The 20,536-nt window shown below is 37.5% G+C and overlaps 1 annotated feature.

Moving 5' to 3' along the window:
- Positions 16,147 to 17,346: an enhancer, noted in NCBI's record as "BRD4-independent group 4 enhancer chr15:95789767-95790966 (GRCh37/hg19 assembly coordinates)". NCBI's record gives its function as "activates an origin of replication core promoter dependent on BRD2, P300/CBP, MED14 and CDK7 cofactors, and independent of BRD4, by STARR-seq in HCT116 cells {active_cell/tissue: HCT116}" and the evidence as "EXISTENCE:reporter gene assay evidence [ECO:0000049][PMID:35650434]".

Genomic DNA, 20,536 nt, shown 5'->3' on the forward strand with positions numbered 1-20,536 from the left:
TGTGTTAGGAGGAAAAGGTGGAAGGCAAAAGAGAGGAGAAAAGACAAGGAGAGGAGAAGGGAAGAAAGAGGAAAGGGGGCAAGAAGAGGGAGGGAGGGAAAGAGGAGTAGAGGGATGGTAAAGAAGAAAAAATACCAAAGTGTGACTGTGGGATATGTCACCTGATTCAGCCAGTCTGAGTCTTGTTTTGTTTTGTTTTACTCAATCTAAATCCCTTATTCCGGTTTTCCCAAAGCAATGTTTTGGGTGATGGAGAGAAAAAGAAAAGAAAGAGAAAAAAAAGCAAAAAGCAAGATCTTTGAATATCAGAGAATGCCAATATGGCCTGAGCCAGATGCAGAGGGAAGAGATGAAAGCTCAGCTCAGATAGATATGCCACAGCTGGCGTTAAAAATGAATTTAGAGGAGGCTACCTGGGCAGCTGTCCTGGAACTCCAATACCAAGTTTCATTTACCCTTTACTGACCAGAGAACACTGCACTGGTGCAGAAAGAATGGTACTTTGAGACAGTAGCAGACATATTCCATGCTTCCTTAATTGCAAAGTCAAGATTCTTTAAACATATTATGAAATAGACCTAAATTAGATAGACTCAGAGATTGCAATTAAAACATCTTTTGAGAGGTATGAGGAAAAGGGCTAAGATATTTGTTTGTGTAGTGTTAGAGAAGAAAAAAAGTTGAAAATCATTTCTCTTAATTATTTTTAGAAAATACAATAGCAGAAGCATCTTTGCCAAAGGGAGGGAATGTGTGTTTTGTGAATAGCTAAACTTTTAAAGGAGGTGGGATCTGGGTATCTCCTTTATTTCCAATTATAACTTTGTAATTTATTATTTATGGAAGTGTAATAACTTGGAAAATCAGATCAATACATAAAGGTTAATAAAATTAAAATTAAATTCTAGTTTAGAATACTGACCACAGATATGTTTCTCCTCTACTTTCTAAATATCCAATAAATGATGGTAAAGGATAATAAAGAATATAAATACATATAAATCTACAAAACCCGGAACCACCAGAAAACCAGAGATTTTGCCACATTTCTGGAAGGAGAAAGTATATAGGAGAGTGTTGTCCTGTGAAGTCAACCAGGAAGACAGAGCTCAAAGTGAGGGTAGAGGGAACTAATGCGGGGAGGGGCTGCCAGGCTAGCTGGTGCCCTCCAGAGAGGTTCTAGTATTATACTGTGAGAAAGAGTAAGCCTGAAAGAGAGAGATTAAGTGAAGATCAACAATCAGGTAACCCCTCCATCCCAGCAAGCATGATTACTAGTAACCTGGTGTTTACTCCAGGTTTAAAAAAATATAAAAAAAAATTACATAGTCATTCTCTAAAGAAATTTAACTATCTACATGGAATCTGGGAGCTGGAGAAGGTTTAGAATTACAGAAGAATGCCTTTCTTGTAGTATTTAGGGGTCTGTGTTCATGATCCTAAATCAAAGCCTATCCATCAACAAAACTCACCTATATGCTCTGAGCCTCACACCAGATTTATTCATTCCTCATTCTTGAATAGGAACAGATACGTATCTCCAGAAAGTTGAGGAATATTTTCGCATGAATAGAAACAAAGACAGAAAACAAAAACAAACAAAAACAAAAAACATGAAGAATCAAATAGAATTAAAAACAAACAGGATTTTGAGAAAGCAGGTAAAAGAGAAAAACTCAAATTATTGTCCTTGGAGAAATGTAAGAAGATACTGTATTCGTCAAACAAGAACAGTCTACTATGAAAAATGAACTATTGGAGAACCAGAAGAGTTTCTAGGAATTTAAGATATAATTTCAGGAAAAACAAAGAGGAGAAAAAATTGAAGAAATAACATATCTTTCAGAATGTGCAGCACAAAATGTGAAAAGGCAAAATGTGAAAGAAAAGAAACAGAAGAGTTAACTCCAAAAGTTCAATGTCTAATTAATATTAGTATCATAAAGAAAGAACAGAACAAATGAGGTAGAAGACAGCTGTCAAATCAATAGAAAGAAAGATTGACTACACTGCACGCAGGAAGGCATGCAATTTCAACATGAAAATGCCTGGCAAGGGCCAAAGAAGAGTCATGAAAATGAAGTAAAATATTAATGTGAAATTACAGAACCCTAGATATTAAAAAGGAAGATCTGAAAAGTTACCAGAGTGGGGAAAATAGGTTATCTAAAGATATGGAAGGAGAAGGAGGAGGAGAAGGAGGATAAGGAGGAAGAGGAGGAGGGGGAGGAGAAAGAGGAGGAGAAATGAAAGGAAAAGAAATAATAATTATTATTATGAAATGAAAAATCATGCTGACAACAGTAGAAGCAAATAAATTTGGCACAAGTTGAGACATTATTCTTAAATTTCACACTTGCAAGTGATGAAAGTTGCTGGAAACAAATCTTTTAAAGATCATTTTAAAAAGCAATATAGTAAGGGGTTGTATTATGGAGATGATGAATTTTCTCTTCCTGTTGAATAAAAACTGTATTTCGTAAGTTGCAGTTTAGGATAAAATTACAGTGACATCATTCAATGCATTACAAAAAAATCTGTATCTGAACTATTAAAATAAAAACACAAATGATTCTGAACACAGCCTTTGATGACTTCCCAGATGGTTCCAGAGAAGATGGCAGTGAATGTGGAGACTCTGAGAAGAATTATCCCATAGACATAAGAAAGTAAGAAAATATTTCTAAGTTAATAGTATGTACATATTATATATGTTCCTACATTTTTACAGTACAAAATTACTAATTTAAATATAACAGGTAGCCAGTCAACTATTTTACAATGCATCATAAACATATATATTTAAGTTAGCCAATTACTCTATGAAAAACACTCTTCACTTGGAAAAATTATAGAATCTGCAATGATTTTAGATGCAATAGAATCATGTTATTGATCTTCATAAAGTAAAAGTAATAGTAGAGCTGACAGAAGTTGAAAAGTAGATAGGGAAAAGAAGATGTAAAAGTAGAAAAATAAGATGTGAAGTTTCAGTTTTGTTAAATAGAACTACAAAAAGATGACTACAAGTAGAGTGCAAATGAAATTCTTACCTATCATAATAGGAATTCAGTAGATAAATTTCAAGTTACTAAGTGAAGAAATAGAAATAGCATGTTAGTCAATAATTTGTAGGCAAAAACCTTTAGAATTTTAACAAAAATGGACAGAAGTGATTGTTTCTCTGAGGAGAGAATGTATTTGGGGAATTGTGGTGTTACTCTTGAGTGTTCCTTATTAAAACTAACATAGTTTAAAATTCATAGATTATATACAAATATACCAGGGCACTTAACCTTTATTATAGATGAGAATTTGGTGCTATTGATAGGCTTGGTTTATAGAGAGGAAATTGAAATTCAGAGAATTTAAATAACTGCTTGGGTTTCACAGCCTTTTCAGTAGGAGAAATGAAGCTTATAACCAGATCTTCCAAATGCCATGCTCTTTGGAAATCTCAAAATAGGAGTAGATACTTAATAATATTTTTTCCAAAATGTTTCCCATCTCCTCTCATGAATGTATAGAATGCATTTTAATCCAGGTGTTGGCAAACTTTTTCCTTGTAAAGGCCAATTTTGTACTTTGTCAGCTATGTGGTCTTTGTAGAAATCACTCAACTCTCCCAATGTAGTGCAGCAGCAAGAAGACAATATGTAATTGGATAAGCATGGTCTGATTTGGCTTATAGGCTACAGTTTGCCAACTCTTGGATCAATAAATTAATTATTTCTCTCTTCTAATTTTCATTCTAGTTTCAATTTTGGGGGCAAAGATGGCTATGCAATATTTTCACTGAGCCTATTCTGTAATTTTCCTCTAACCCTGTATAAGTCCATTCTCACACTGCTGTAAAGAACTACCTGAGAAACTGTGTAATTTATTTTTAAAAAAGAGGTTTAATCAGCTCACAGTTCTGCAGGCTGTCCAGGCTTCTGCTTCTGGGTAGACCTCAGGAAACTTACAACCATGGTGGAAGGCAGAGGGGAGGCAAGCACATCTTCATATGGTGGAGAAGAGAGACAGAGAAGGGGGAAGTGCTACACCCTTTCAAATAACCAGTTCTCCTGAGAACTCTATCACAAGAACAGCAACGGGGAAGTCCACCCCCAGGATTCAATCACCTCCTACCAGGCCCCTCCTGCAACACTGAAAATTACAATTCTATATGAGATTTGGTTGGGGACACATAGCCAAACTATATCATTCTGCCTCAGCCCCTCCCGAATCTCATGTCCCTCTCACATTTTCAAACACAATCATGCCTTTCCAATGGTTGCTCCAAAGTCTTAACTCATTCCAGCATTAACTCGAAAGTCCAAGCCCAAAGTCTCAACTGAGACAAGTCCCTTCCACCTATGAGCCTGTGAAATAAAAGACAAGTTAGCTACTTCCAAGATACAATAGAAGTACAGGAATTTGGTAAATGCTGCCAATCCAAAAGGAAGAAATTGGCCAAAGCAAAAGGGCTCCAGGCCCCACAAGAGTCCAAAACCCAGCAGGGCAGTCATTAAATCTTAAAACTCCAAAATAATCTCCTTTGACTCCATGTCTCACATCCAGGACACACTGATTCAAGTGGTGAGCTCCCAAGGCCTTGGGGAGCTCCACCCCTGTGGCTCTGCAGGGCACAATCTCAGTGGCTGTTTTCATAGGCTGGTGTCGAGTGCCTGCAGCCTCTCCAGGTGCACAGTGCAAGCTGTCAGTGGATCTACCATTCTGAGGTTTGGAGAACAGTGGCCTTCTTCTCATAGCTTCACCAGGTGGTGCTCCAGTGGGGACTCTGTGTGGCTCCAACCTCATGTTTCCCTTTCACACTACCCTAGTAGAGGTTCTACATGAGGGCTCCACCCCTGAATCAGACTTCTGCCTGGACTTCACTGTCTGTATCATTATTAGCATTTTGGTCACAACCATTCAACAAGTCTGTGGGAAGTTCCAAACTTTCCCTCATCTGTCTTCTTCTGAGCCCTTCAAACTGTTCCAATATTTGCCCATTACCCAGTTCCAAAGTTGCTTCCACATTTTCATGTATCTTTATAGCAATGCCCCTCTTCTTTGGTACCAATTTTCTATATTAGTCTATTCTCACATTGCTATAAAAAACTAGCTAAGACTGAGTAATTTACTGGAAAAAGAAATTTGATTAGCTCATGGTTTCTGCAGGCTCTTCAGGCTTCTGCTTCTGGGGAGACCTCAGGAAACTTACAATCATGGCAAAAGGTGAAGGAGAAGCAAGTATGTCTTCACACAGCTGGCAAGAGGGAGTGAAAGAGTGGAGGGGGAAGTGCTACATACTTTCAAACAACCAGATCTTGTGAGAACTCTATCACAAGAACAGAAAGGGGGAAGTCTGGCCCCATGATTCAGTCACCTCCCTCCAGGACCCTCCTACAACATCAAAGATTACAATTCTGTGTGAGATTTGGGTGGAGACACACAGCCAAACCATATCAAACCCCTTCCATTATTACATGCAAGAAAGTGAGACCACATAATAACACAGGTGTCCCTTCCACTTATAGCTCACTTTCTTCCCCATAACTTGGCTTTGCATCTCATAAACTCTGAAAATTACATATCATTTTTATTGGGGTGGATGGGTTCTCTTGCATATTACTTATTTAATTAGGCCAAATCAGAGTAAAAAGAATACATCATTATTTTCAATGCTCAGAGTAATGGGGCAGTGTTATCCATCGGTCTAGGGACTCTGTGGTAATTAGTGAAGATCATGTAGGGTAGGTAATATCCAGGATGTGTGCATGAGACACAAATGGAGCCTAAAGCTAGAATTAGATCCAGGAAGGGGCTGTTCATTTGATTGTTTGACAAATAATGATTCATTTGAGATGACAGAATTGAGGCATTTGAAGAACCCAACATATAAGTAGATTCTTGAAATACCATCAAAATAAAGTAGAAAAAGATATCTATACTGTGACAATCAGTGAGCTGAAAACTGAAGAACATCCTCTTCCTGCAGAAGAATCAGCTCTTTATTTTTCTATCCAGGTTCTCTATGCTAAGATTTAAATCTCTGAGATAGAGAATTCCATTGGTATAGCCACGGCCCACACCTTGGGTAAAGAAGAATAGACACAGACTCTTCACCACTCTTGGACTCCATGCAGTAGGGCTAAGAATTTCTTCAAAGGAAAATCAAGGTGCTACTACCAGACAAATAGAAAATAGATGGTGGACAGGCAAAAACAAATGATGTCTACTACAGTTTAGATGCACGGTATCAAATTTTTGAAAAGGTAAACATATGCTCATTCCGATAGTCTGTGTGTCTCCTTAGATAAAAATAAGCAGGCCATTGCTTTCTTGTCATGTAAAGAGACCTTTCTCCAAATATAATCTTAATTTTCATCAATATCTTTCCTTTTTTCCTTTCTTTGTTCTATTCGTCATTCCTTTATTTTGCTTTCCTTTTTGCATTGAAATTTTCTTTCAAGTGTTCTTTTCTTAGTTTCTTTGATCTGATTGATAAAGTTTTTAATGCTATGGAACTCAAGGCTGTTACATGGAAAAAAGCGCATACTTTACAATGTCACCACGGTCCAATCTGCTATTCCATATCTTTGTATTAAAGTGGAAAAACAGCTGACCTAACTCAGTCTTCTTTCCAAACAGAATTAAAGTCACATGCACATTGAACTGAATATATATGTTCAAATTTTAGATAAAAATTATGAAGTTATAATAATGAATGTGTTACCTTTTAAAAGTTTGCACTAGAAAAAACTACTGACAACATGGCACTTAGATATATAATAATTTGTGAAGGTCAGTAGAATGCATGTTTCTGCTCATATTTACCTCATTGGGATTGGTTCAGTTCCAGAGCTATAACCACATAGTTTCAAGATATGAATGGAAACTAAATTTTCTAAATTTTTTTTCCTCTTGAAAAATGTTTGAAATCCAATTATTCAAATTTATTTGGATGAATTAGCTACACTAAGAGATAGGTAGACCTGTTGCATTCTTCGAAGAAAAAAGTGCTGTATTCATACTTTTAAAAAACTTTGGCCAGGTGTGGTAGCTCACGCCTGTAATCCCAGCACTTTAGGAGGCTGAGGCTGGTGGATCACAAGGTCAGGAGATCGAGACCATCCTGGCTAACATGGTGAAATCCCGTCTCTACTAAAAATACAAAAAATTAGCCAGGCGTGGTGGCATGCGCCTGTAGTCCCAGCTACTTAGGGGGCTGAAGTAGGAGAATTGCTTGAACCCAGGAGACGGAGGTTGCAGCGAGTTGAGATCACGCCACTGCACTCCAGCGTGGGCAACAGAGCGAGATTCTGTCAAAAATAAATAAATAAATAAAAATAAAAAAAACACTTTAAAACTTAATGCAATGTTTTCTTGATTGAATCCTGGGGGCACTTAACATGTGTAAAGTGTGGGGTGCATGTGTGTGTCATTATTATTAACTTTGACAGAGACAAGTATCCTTACCATCTAACTTTAATCTCATCAAAACGCTTCTGTTTGCTTCTTATAATTTGTTTGTATAAACATGTTCTATTATTTAATCAACTGTAGTACAATACTTATGTTTCAGATGATCATGCTCAACATCTGATCACTCTCTTGTATATCCAGCATTTCCTGAAAGTACCAGCCCTACTCTACCAAAGAAAGCAGTTTTGTGAATCAGTAGTTTAGAAAATGTAATTTTTATAAAATCCACCTAACTTTACTTAGCACATCATTTCATAGACGATTGATTGACTGATTGATTGACTGAGACAGGGTCTTGCTCTGTGGCCCAGGCTGGAGGACAGTGGTGCTATCATAGCTCACTGCAGCCTTGACCTCCTGGGCTCAAGCAATTCTCCCACCTCCGCCTCCCGAGTAGCTGAGACTATAGGCATGCACCACAACACCCGGCTAATTTTTTAATTCTTTTATAGAGATGAGGTTTTGTCATGTTGCCTGGGCTGGTCTCAAACTCCTGGGCTCAAGAAGTCTGCCCACCTCTGCCTCCCAAAGTGCTGAGATTACAAGCATGAACCACCACACCCAGCCTCACAGACTTATTTATTATGGGATGTTTCTCCCCTTGTAATTCTTACTAGCACATACTAATGTGTTAGTATTCTTAGAAACCAAGAATTTGAATATCTCAAATATCTGTTTATTTGATAATATGTAGATGAGTAATCTTAATAACTGATCAAAATTTCTGTTTATTTACTGAAAGGCTTGGGAATGTATAAATAAAATCTTAGCCTCTTGGTTGAGAAGGCAAAATAGAACATAGTAACAAAATTAAAATGTGAGAAAAAAGATGTGACAAGGTTTTACTTTTAGCATTCTCCAATTTGAGAGAGCAGAATTTTGTAACAATAAACATGTTCCAAATTATGTATAAGAAGATGTAGCAAAGGCAGTTTTGAGTGAGACTTTGGAATTTTTGGACTTCTGATCCTGGCACTCCTGTCTGGGTTTCGAAGGTCAGAGGAAACTAGAGGAGAAAGGAAAGAAAGAGGGAATGGCATCCTTATCTACTATCTTTGCTTCATCCTGATGGTCCAAACAGAACCTTTGAGAAGTCAGTGGGGATACAAACATAAAAAGAACTAATGAGAGGCCAGGACACCAATTAACCAGTTCACTGATCAGAAGGCTCAGAACCTTCTAGTTGCTACTACTTCCATTAGAAAATAATTGTTTGGGGGCAAAGGAAGCAAAAATCAACAGGAAAACGAAGCAAATACCTCTTACGGAAGAGGGAAATTTATAGAGAACAAACATCATTGGCCATTGTGTTTTCCTTAACACCATGTGCCAGATACACAAGAACTGAGTTTTCTGAAACACTGTGACAGCAAAGTTTGCTTTGCCTGTGACAAGAATGAAAGAAAATGAAGAAAGGGAAAGAGGAAAGGAGGGAAAGAGGGAGAGAGAGGGGAAAGGAAGGAAGAACACAAGGAGAGAGGAAGAGAGGGAGCAAGAGAAAAGGAGAAAGAGGAAGGATGAGAGAGGGAGAGAGGAATGGAAGGAGAAGCAGGAGGGGGAGAAGAAGGAAGGAAAGGAGGGAGGGAGGGAGGGGAGATAAAGAGATGCTGTAGAGGAGGAAAACTTGTCTTGTCAATAACTGGTGTTCGTGAGTGAGTGAGAGTTGGCCTGATAGATGGCACTGTGCTGTGTGACCTGAGCAGTGACTAGAAGCCAGAAGAGTTGGGTTCTATTCTCTACCGTCTTAGACTCTATTGCCTGAAACGAGTCCCTTCACCTTATGCACTTCCTTTTCCAACTTGAAAATGTTAATCTAGAGGAAAGCATGCTGACATAGTCTAAGAATGAGACAATGTGAACACTTGAGAAAGACCTGAAATAGTTAAAGGCATGGTCAGGCTTGGGAAAGGCTTACTGAGGCCACATGTTTTCCCAGTGTATGACCTGCAGGCACACACCTGGGCTCGGTCAGGTTACAGCCCACTCCCTACCCCCCAGGTCAGGCCCTGGTCAATGATAGACCTAGGACCCTCCTTAATTAAGCATACCAATCACCTAAAGCAACAAGAGGGTATTTGGGAATATTGGATGTCACTCAGCCTCTCTTTAGACTTCCTTTCCCTTTAATTATTTCAAAAGAAAAACACTAACTTTTTTTTAAGTTAAAAATAACAAAAGCAAAGTCCCTTAAAGGAATGGATATCTGTAGAGATTAAGTAATGAATGACTGCCTGGACTTTTAACTGCCCTGTATCTGCTGCCAAAGTTGATGCTACTTTGAATTTAGGCAGCTCTAGATTCTTTAATTCCACCTGCTTGGCCCTACCGATGCCTCATTTGGAAAATGTCAATGATCAGTTACCATCTGGTTTCCTGAAAAAAAAAAAAAGTTTGGAAATGCTTAGTTGATTCCTTCTTACTTTGAATCATTTTGTTGCTGTTGCTGATGCTGCTCCTTAAATCTAAGGAGCCAGTGGCTGTTTAAAAACATTAATGCTGCTTTCCTATTCAAGGAGAGATTTTCTTCAGAAAGGTCCCTAAATCACTAATGGCTTTCAGGAATTTATCACATCAAAGAGAAAAGAGAGAAACTTTCACTTATCCAATGGGAATTACAGGTATATGGGAGGGCCTCCCTCCAGCTAAAAATTAGATGAGTCAGTTGCAAGTTTATAATCGATCTTATGCAATATATGTCATGAAGATTTAAATATAAAAGAGGCTTTGCTTCTCCCTTTATCAGAAAGTAGAGTTCAGAAGATAAACTAATGAAACTTGATTTTTTAAAAAGCTCTAGTTAGGGACTATTAAGCTATATGAATTTCCTTTATTCACCCTCTCATTTCATTTCATAGATAGAGATTTCATTTATATATATATATATTTAGATGTATATATTTATATATATCTAGATATATATTTACATATATATTTATCTATATTTATATTTATATATCTAGATCCATATATCTAGATATATATATTTAGATATATTTATATAGATCTAGATATATATTTAGATATATTTATATACATCTAGATATATATTTATATTTATATATATCTAGATATATATTTATATATTTATACATATATTTATATATTTTTAGATATATATTTATATATTTATGTATATATTTAGATATATATATTTATATATTTATGTATATATTTAGATATATATTTATATATTTATATATTTAGATATACTTATATATATATTATATACTTATATATATTTATATATGCTTATATATTTATATATTTATATATTTTTCTATATATTTATATATACATTTATATATTTATATATTTATCTATATTTATATAGTTTTATATATTTTATCTATATTTATACATTTATATATTTTTATATCTATTTATATATTTTATATCTATTTTTATATATTTTTATATATATTTATATATATACTTTTATATATATATTTGAGATGGAATCTTGTTCTTTCACCCAGGCTGGAGTGCAGTGGTGTGATCTCGGCTCCCTGCAACCTCTGCCGCCCGGGTTCAAGGGATTCTCCTGCCTCAGCCTCCGGAGCATCTGGGACTACAGGTGCGCACCACCACACCCAGCTAATTTTTGTATTTTTAGTAGAGACAGGGTTTCACTATATTGGCCAGGCTGGTCTTGAACTCCTGACCTCATGATTCACCTGCCTTGGCCTCTCAAAGTGATGGGATTATAGGCATGAGCCTGGCCACATTAAAATATTACTGAATGGTGTTTACAATGTCAGCTCTAGAATATTAGTTAACACATTGCTTTATTTGAATTTTTCAACAACCCCTTGATATCTGTATAGTTGTTATTAATAGCCCCATGAGGAAACAAATATTTGGCGAAGTTATGGCTTGCTCAAGACCACACAGTGAAACCCACTCTACTCGAAAACTCTAGAAGCTCATTTTTCATTTGTTTGCTAGCATAGAGTCTTCAAAAGTGAAGTCAGAAATCAGTAACTCTTCTACCAGTTCTTTTACTGCTTTGCCCTTTTCAATCATCTTTTTTTGGTACCCAGTGGCTATTTTCCAAGACATCCCCTGCCCTCTTGGCTAATATCACAACCTTTGAATTTTTACCATAACTCCTTATTTTTGAGAATTATTTCCACTTCTGTCTTCTTTCCCTCCCTTCAAGATGACAATCCTCTAACCTGAAAAACTGAACTGCACATATATTATTATGTGACAATTGCATAATTGCCTGTCATATCCTATATTTTTGGACTTTAGCAGAGTTCTCCTAAATAAAAATTGTAACCTAAAGAACTTAATGATGATGAGAATTAAAAACAGAGATCGGCTAACATATTGTTAATTTGGTAACCCACCAAACAAATAATCTATGCAGGCAGTCGTGCCCTACAGTGCCTACATAAATATGAATACTGACATTTAGATCAAATTTGTTAATAACATTCTTAGCATAAGTAATTACATATTATTAGCATAAGTAATGATCCATATTGCTCATATATGTATCTCTAGGAAAATCATATAATGCACTAGTGAAATGAATGACATGAGATTTTGGCTTCCCTTGTAGGATAGGATGTAGTATTCAGGAGGATTGTCCAGTGTTAGTGTAAGATAGACCTGGGTTTGAGTCCCAGTTCAGTCACTTATAGGTGATGTGACCTTGAACATGTGCTTAATTTCTTTGTCTCTCAGAGTCATCAAGGAAGGAAGGAAGGGAGGAAGGGAAGGAAGGAGAAAGAGAAGGAAGGGAAGGGAAGGGAAAGGAAGGGAAGGGAAGGGGAGAGGAGGGGAGGGGAGGGGAGAAAAGAAAAGAAAATGAAAAGAAAAGAGAAAAGAAAAGAAGGCCAGGCACAATGGCTCATGCCTGTAATCCCAGCACTATGGGAGGCCGAGGTGGGTGGATCACGAGCTCAAGAGATCAAGACCATCCTGGCCAACAGAGTGAAACCCTGTCTCTACTAAAAATACAAAAATTAGCTGGGTGTGGTGGCACGCCCCTGTAGTCCCAGCTACTGGGGAGGCTGAGGCAGGAGAATCGCTTGAACCTGGGAGGTGGAAGTTGCAGTGAACCAAGATCATGCCACTGCACTCCAGCCTGGTGACAGAGCAAGTCTCCATCTAAAAGAAAGAGACAGAAAGGAAGCGAGGAAGGAAGGAAGGAAGGAAAAAGAAGAAAGAAAAAGAAAGAAAGAAAGAAAGAAAAAGAAGGGAGGGAGAGAAGGAAAGAAGGAAGGAGGGAAGGAAGGAAAGACTATATTTCCCATACAGTGGTAGTACAGTATTAAAAAATAATGTCTGTAAAACCAACCCATAGCTCTATGTCTGGCACAGAGTAGGCTTTCAAAAAGTGGTGGCTTCCAGCAATAAAAAAGCAAATACTTACACGTTGCTAGCTTTTATATCCTTTGCAAAGAGAATAAATTGGAGTTAAAATTGAGTATAAGAAGGTCTCAGGTTCAGAAAATCAGAGGCTAAATATTTTCTAAATGTGGATTCTCCCTAGGTTGAGATATTTCATATACAGGAAATGACAATAAGCCAAACACTGTTTAAGAGAGATGTGGAGTTTTTGCCTCAAAAATTAATTCTGTAGCTTCAAATTAAGCTCACCACATGTAAAGCAAAGTTTACTTTTAATCTTTCTTAGTCCTTACAATAAAAGTTACATTTTCAACCAACAGGTTCTTTCTATTAAACTCCACACTTCACTGGCATAATTAAGACTCATCTAGAATAGAATCAACTTTGACATGTGGCAGGAGAGGCCATAGTTAATTCCTTATTACCTCATAACCTTGGATGTGTTGAGATGTGTTTCTGTGATGGAGCAAGGAAGCCAGGTGTTCTTCCCCCACGTTGTAAATGTCTCCATTCTCAGGCTTAGGCTTCCCCTCAAGAGGGCAGCCACTCAGTGACTGGCCTACTCTAAACCTTGTCTTGATAATTTACGGAACTGTCCAACCACAGCTTAAATGGGTCCTCAGAAAAAATGGAGCCTAACTTCCCAACAAGTGAAGATGTTCCCTCTGCAATCCACAGAAGATGACTCTAGGAAAGAAATAGGAACATTAATATAAATTTATTTCTGGCTGGGCACCATGGCCCATGCCTGCAACCCCAGCACTTTAGGAGGCCAAGGCAGGGAGATTGTCCGAGACCAGAAGTTCAAGGCCAACCTGGGAAACATAGAAAAACCCCCATCTCCAGAAATAAAATAAAATAGCCAGACATAGTGGTGCAGACCCACAGTCCTAAGTACTCAGGAGGCCTAAGCAATCAGGAGGATTGCTTGAGCCTGTGTTTGAGGTTCGAGTGAGTTATGATGGTGCCACTGTACTCTAGCTTGGGCAACAGCATGAGACCCTGTCTCTAAAAATATATGTATGTGTGTGCACAAACACACACACAGTGTTAGGCCATTCTGTTTTTGTTGTTGTTGTTGTTGTGTTTTTTGTTTTTTGTCTTTCTTTTTTTTTTTGAGACAGTTTCACTGTGTTGCCCAGGCTGGAGTGAGTAGCTCAATCTCGGCTCACTGCAACCTCCACCTCCTGGGTTCAAGCAATTCTCATGCCTCAGCCTCCTAAGTAGTTGGAATTACAGGCGTGCACCATCATGCCTGGCTAATTTATATAATTTTAGTAGAAATGGGGTTTCATGATGTTGGCCAGGCTGGTTTCACACTCCTGACCTCAGGTGATTTTCCCTCTTTGGCCTCCCTTACTGCTGGGATTACAGGCGTGAGTCACTGCACCCGGCCTCAGTCATTCTTGTGTTGCTATAAAGATATATCCAAGACTGGGTAATTTATTTTTCAAAAGATATTTAATTGGCTCAAGTTCTGTATGCTTTACAGATATCATGGTGCTGGCATTTGCTTGGCTTCTAGGAAGGCTTCAGAAAGCTTACAATCATGACAGAAAGTGGAAAGGAGTAGGCATGTCACATGGTGAAAGCAGGAGCAAGCAAGAGAGAGAGAGAGTCCAGGGAGAGGTGCCACACACTTCTAAATGACAAGATCTCACGAGGACTCACTACCATGAAGACAACATCAAGCCATGAGGGATCCACCCCCATGATCCAAACACCTCCCACTGTCCCTACTTCCAGCATTGGGGATTACAATTCAACATGAGATTTGAGCGAGGACAAATATCCAAACTGTATCACTCTGCTCCTGACACCTCCGAAATCTCATGTCCTTCTCACATTGCATAATACAACCTGCCTTCCCAACCATCCCTCCACATCTTAACTCATTCCAGCATTAACTCAAAAGTCCGAAGTCTCATCTGAGACAAGGCAAATGCCTTCCACCTATGAGCCTGTAAAATCAGAAACAAGTAGTTACTTTCAAAATACAATGGAGAAGAGGGGTGCAATGGCTCACGCCTGTAATCCCAGCACTTTGTGAAGCCGAGGCCGGTGGATCACTTGAGGTCAGGAGTTGGAGACCAGCTTGGCCAACATAGTGAAACCCCATCTCTACTAAAAAAATACAAAAATTAGCTGGGCATGGTGGTGCGTGCCTGTAATCCCAGCTACTCGGGAGGCTGAGACAGGAGAATTGCTTGAACTTGAGAGGCAGAGGTTGCAGTCAGCCGGGATTGTGCCACTGCACTCCAGCCTGGGCGACAGAGCAAGACTCTGTCTCAAAAAAAAAAAAAAAAAAATACAATGGAGATAGAAGCATTGAGTAAACATTTCAGTTCCAAAAGGGAGAAATTGGGTGGGGACAGATATCAAAATTATATCACACACATACACACACACACATCCAAATTATAGCTCACACACACACACACACACACACACACCACACACAAAGCATGCTACTCCATACAGTCCTACCTCATTTCTGTGAAGATATCAGGAGTTACCTATACCTAAAACAAAAAATAGACCCTATTCCTAAAAATAGTAGTAGGGAGATTAGGAAATCGCTTTCTAGAAGAAAGGAAGGAAATTTAAAATTTTTTTTCCTAATTGCAAACTAAATGGCTTCTTGTTTAATAAAGATATCATCCCAGCACTTTGGGAGGCCGAGGTGGGCGTGGTGGCACACACCTGTAATCCCAGCTACTCGGGAGGCTGATGCAGGAGAATCACTGGAACCCGGAAGCAGAGGTTTGCAGTGAGCCAAGATCGTGCCATTGCACTCCAGCCTGGGCAACAACAGTGAAACTCCGTCTCAAAAGAAAAATAAGAAAAAAATGAAGATATCAACGAATAGTTTGCTGTTTTATTTAAAATGCAATTAAATAAAAAAAAACTTAGGTTCTGGTTAATAAAATTTTTCAAGTTATGAAGTCCTATTTTGTTTTCTTTTTAAAAAATTATTTTTAACTCTTTTCTGCTTTTAGAAGTTTTTTATGCTTACTTTAGATAAAAAGTATAGACAAATATAGAAAAGAGCGATGAAGCAATACAAACTACTCATCATCCCTCCATTTACTTAGAGTGAAAGGTTATTAATATTTTGGAGTTTGTTCTAATCTCCCTCCCATGTGTTTGTGTGTATATATTGGTTTTACAGGAATAGCGACATATTTTGTCATATGTGTTACCTGTTTTCATTCATAGAAAGTAATTTCATACACACTTCTTAATGCCATTTAATATCATTAAGGCAGAATATTACTGGCTATATATTAACCAGCAATAGTAGTATATGCCACCCAATTTTTGATAGCTTGCAGTGGTAACATTTTACATCAACTGGGAGAAATTGAATTAATTAAGCACTGATGATAGAAACTTTTGTCAAGGCTGAGGATGGGGTTAGGTCCTCACCTCACGTTATAGACTAAAATAAATCACAATTATGGTTAAATGTAAAAATTAAAATATAAAATATTTCTAAATATGCAGTAAAGCATAAAACAAAAGTCTATTAAATTATAATTTGAAGAATTTCTGTTTAACAACAATATAACATGTTAATCAAATTAGGAAAAACATTTGTGACACTTTAATAGCCAGTATATGTAAATGGGTAATATAACATATGAAAATAATTACAAATTACAAATACTCCAAGGAAAAATTTGTAAAGCACATTAGGAGGCAAATTTCAGAAAAGAAATGCAAAATATTCAATTTCAGTAGCAATCAAAGAAATATACTCCTCCAATGCCATTTTCTATTCTTATTGGTTTACTTTTTCTTCAAATCAAATCACCACCTGACACTATAGATATAAAAACTATTATTCTATATGTAACTTTTTTCCCTCAATGCAGCGCAAGTTACATAAAAACTGTTGTCCTTTTATTCATTGTTGTATAGCCTCAATAACAGGCCTGTTTTAAAGTATGTGTGAGTCAGCTATGACTATGTACCAAATAATCTCAAATCTTAGTGTCATGTAACAATAAGTGTTTACTTATTGTTCAGTCAGCCAAGATGACTCAGCTTCATAGTGCAAGTTGGCTTATCGTCCTCCTGTGATCAGCAGGCAGAATGGGGCATGCAGCGCTTCAGGGGATGGAATAAATACAAGAAGGTATGACCAACTGTGTCCCGAGTTCGTTCCTTCCAGCGTGTTCGTGGTATCACTGACTTCAGGAATGAAGCTGCAGACTTTGTGATGAGTGTTACAGCTCTTAAAGGTGGTGCTGACCCAAAGAGTGAGCAGCAGCAAGATTTATTGTGAAGAGTGAAAGAACAAAACTTCTACGGCATGGAAGGGGACCCGAGTGGTTGTTACTGCTGTGTGGGGTGGCCAGCTTTTATTGCTTTATTTGTCCCCACCCATGTCCTGCTGATTGGTCCATTTTACAGAGTGCTGATTGGCGCATTTTACAGAGCACTGATTGGTCCATTTTACAGGGTGCTGATTGGTCCATTTTACAAACCTCTAGCTAGCCACAGAACCCTGATTGATGAGTTTTTACAGAGTGCTGATTGGTGCATTTTACGAACCTCTAGCTAGCCACAGAGTGCTGATTGGTGCGTTTTGCAATCCTAGCTACAGAATGCTGATTGGTGCATTTTACAATCTCTTGTAAGACAGAAAAGTTCTCCAAGTGCCACCTGACCCAGAAGTCCAGCTGGCTTCACCTCTCACAGCCATGAAATCTCATTTTAAGTCCCTCTTACATATCTTCTAACTGGAAATTCATCAAAGGAAGTCACAATACCAAGCTCAAAATCAAGGGTAGGAAGCTCAAAATCAAGGGTAGGAAGCTCAAAATCAAGGGTAGGAAAGTATACGCACCTATATATACACATACATGTACATACATATACACATGCATATATATATGGAGAGAGAGAGTGAGCATGCTAAAACAAAAAGATGTTACATTCACCTATTATTAATATGCTTAATTGCAATAGGCAATGCTAATGAAAATGTGCAAAAGTGAGGTTTATATCCTTCTTTGGTCCAGTAATTTATTTCTATGAAATGAACATTACAACTATAACCAGAAATGCACTTAACATTTTTTTCCATGAATGTCTATTGCAATATTATCTATATTACAAAAATTGGAATCAATCTACCGTTATTCTGAGATGGCTCTTTCTTTTCTTACTGTATTTAATTTGTCCGAACATAGTCAACATTTCTCATTATTGCATATGATGGCTTGCAATTGGCCAAATAAGAGAAATGCATTTTTTCCCTATGAAATCTTCTACAACTATTTGAGTTCATTAATTTATAAATCATTGATGAGCATCTGGTGACTTTTAAAAATAAATTAGTAATATTCCTTCTGTCCTAAAATTGACCAAATAAACAGATTTCTGGGGAGAGAATGTGTCTATAAAGCTCACAACAGTTAAAAAATGTGCAATGATAGATAAAGAAATATGTTCTGTATATTAAAGGGTCCAGATCAAGGACAACTAACTCAACTGCAAGAATCAGGGCAGAACCCTCAAGGAGGAAAAGTTCAAATCCATGCTTTGGGTCTAAATGTGATAAGAAATGGTAAACATTCACAAGGGTTAGTCAATATCAGTAATGTCAACAATACATAATACCTTTGAAAATGTCAAGATTACATTAATGTATTTTACCCATAGCTTTTGGTGGACATCTCCAACCCCACTTCTAGGGAGGGAAGGGGGCGCACTTTCTCTGAGTCCAAACCCTCTGGAGAAAATATGAAGTCAGCTTTGTTAAGTGACTCTAATAGGGTACAGGAATGGATTCCAGCTACTTCTGGTTCTCGGTCCTGGTTTTACTTTCTGTTTTATCGTCCCCAATAAATGTAGCAGGGAGAGGAGATGAGGGTCCATTCATTTATCAAGGTTGGTTGGAAAAACAAAAGTAATTGTAATTGAATAGTCTTCTCTTATTTCATAACATCCAAAATATAAACTGATGGAAATTATTCATTGCCAAAGGCCACTGTGACAGGCAGAAGGCTATCAAGTAGGTGGCATGGCAAAGCCACTGGAAGGCTCACAGGCATTATATTTTATTCTTTCTTTTGTTCACCCATTTATTAATTTGTTTAACAAATATTGCAACAAATATTGGAAGACAGACTCCTTAGTTTCTTAAGAATGGTTTAGGACCATAAACATATTTCTTATGATGATCAATTAACACTACATTAATATTCTCAAAGAGGGTAGTAAGCTATCTTCAAACCAAGGCCCATCCGCATCCTTGCTTAATGGGTTAGAAACACTGCATTTAAGAAACAAGAGTTTGTTCTCCTATCACAAATAATTTAAAAGACCAAATCAGGAATTAAGTGAATCTAAGTATTTTATTCTTTCTAAAAATGTAAAGAAATGGAGGGTCACTTAATCCAAAGCACCTGCTACTCCTTTTGATTCATTTTGGGTAAAAGTGGGCCTTGAGGGATGGGCCTGGAACCCCTGATTTAAGCAGCATCAGCAAAAAACAAAAACCGAAAAAAACCCCGGCTTATCTTTATCTGGAATTAACTACAAATTCAATTAGAATAAAAATCTTCACCCACCCCGTGGAAAAGATTTTACACAAAGAAAAGCAGATGTTGCAACAACATTGAGAGCACTTTGCTTAGCAGTGTATGGAATTTTCCATCTTGTAAGCCCAATCACCGGTGAAAGATACACAGAGCCAGCTTCTCTAACTCACAAAACGACTTCCATTTCCCATGCTCCTTTAATTAGATTTACTTCTTTAACCAAAGTAATATTGGGTTGAAGGAAGGAAGGGCGGGGTGGGGGAGACTCTACTTAATACTGGCTTAGCAAGTTTAGAGAAGGATGAAGGGTAAGAGGTGGAGGTCTATTTTGGGGTTATTTTACAGATAAAGCTTTTCTTATTTATTAGGAGTTTGTTCAGTTAGAAAAAAATAGTAACAAAATTAATTGCTAAAGGTTATGCTGAGATCATACCTTAGTTCTATTTTCAGCTTTGAACAGATTATAGGACAATGAAGCATAAATAGAAATTAGAAAAGATTTTGAACAGACGCCCTGTAGCACTTTTTCACATCGGGATGAGAAATGTGCAGAACGGCCTATGAGGCAAAGTTATAAATGGAGAGGAACCAGGATCATGTAGGCCGCACTTGGGGAATAGAATGTGGGAACAGAAGGGGCCTAGAGGGGCTTCAGTGACCTCTGTTTGGTTTCTGGAAATGTTTTAAGTTTGTCTTTTTTAAGCCTACCTTAATTTGTATTTGTTAACCAGAATAGAGAGAGAGCCCCAAAGACAAACCTGAGTTTTTGCCGGAGAGAAGCCGTGAACTTACTTGCTTATAAACTTAATTGCAAGTGACCATTCACTCTTCAGGGTTGTGCCCAATACCAAGTAAGACAAAACAAACCCATATGTGGGTCAGTTTCCATTTCTTTCCATACATTGATGTTGAAATATGTTGAAATATGCCATAGTTTTGTTCAACTTCTTCTCATTAAGGATTAGGAGAGTCTCCTAACAGGTATTTTCATTTTTGTCTCCTTAACTCAATTTTGGACTAACTCATCTCCCAAAATTCAGCAAGACTGAGTTTTCTAAAAAACAAAGCTAGCTGTGAAAGTCTCCTGTTTAAAATGAATAAGGCTCCTCATCTTCTTAGGGAAAAAATATCCTAGCTCCTTATTTTCT

This window comes from Homo sapiens, chromosome 15 (genome assembly GCF_000001405.40).
Source record: "Homo sapiens chromosome 15, GRCh38.p14 Primary Assembly".
Taxonomy (NCBI): Eukaryota; Metazoa; Chordata; class Mammalia; order Primates; family Hominidae; genus Homo; species Homo sapiens.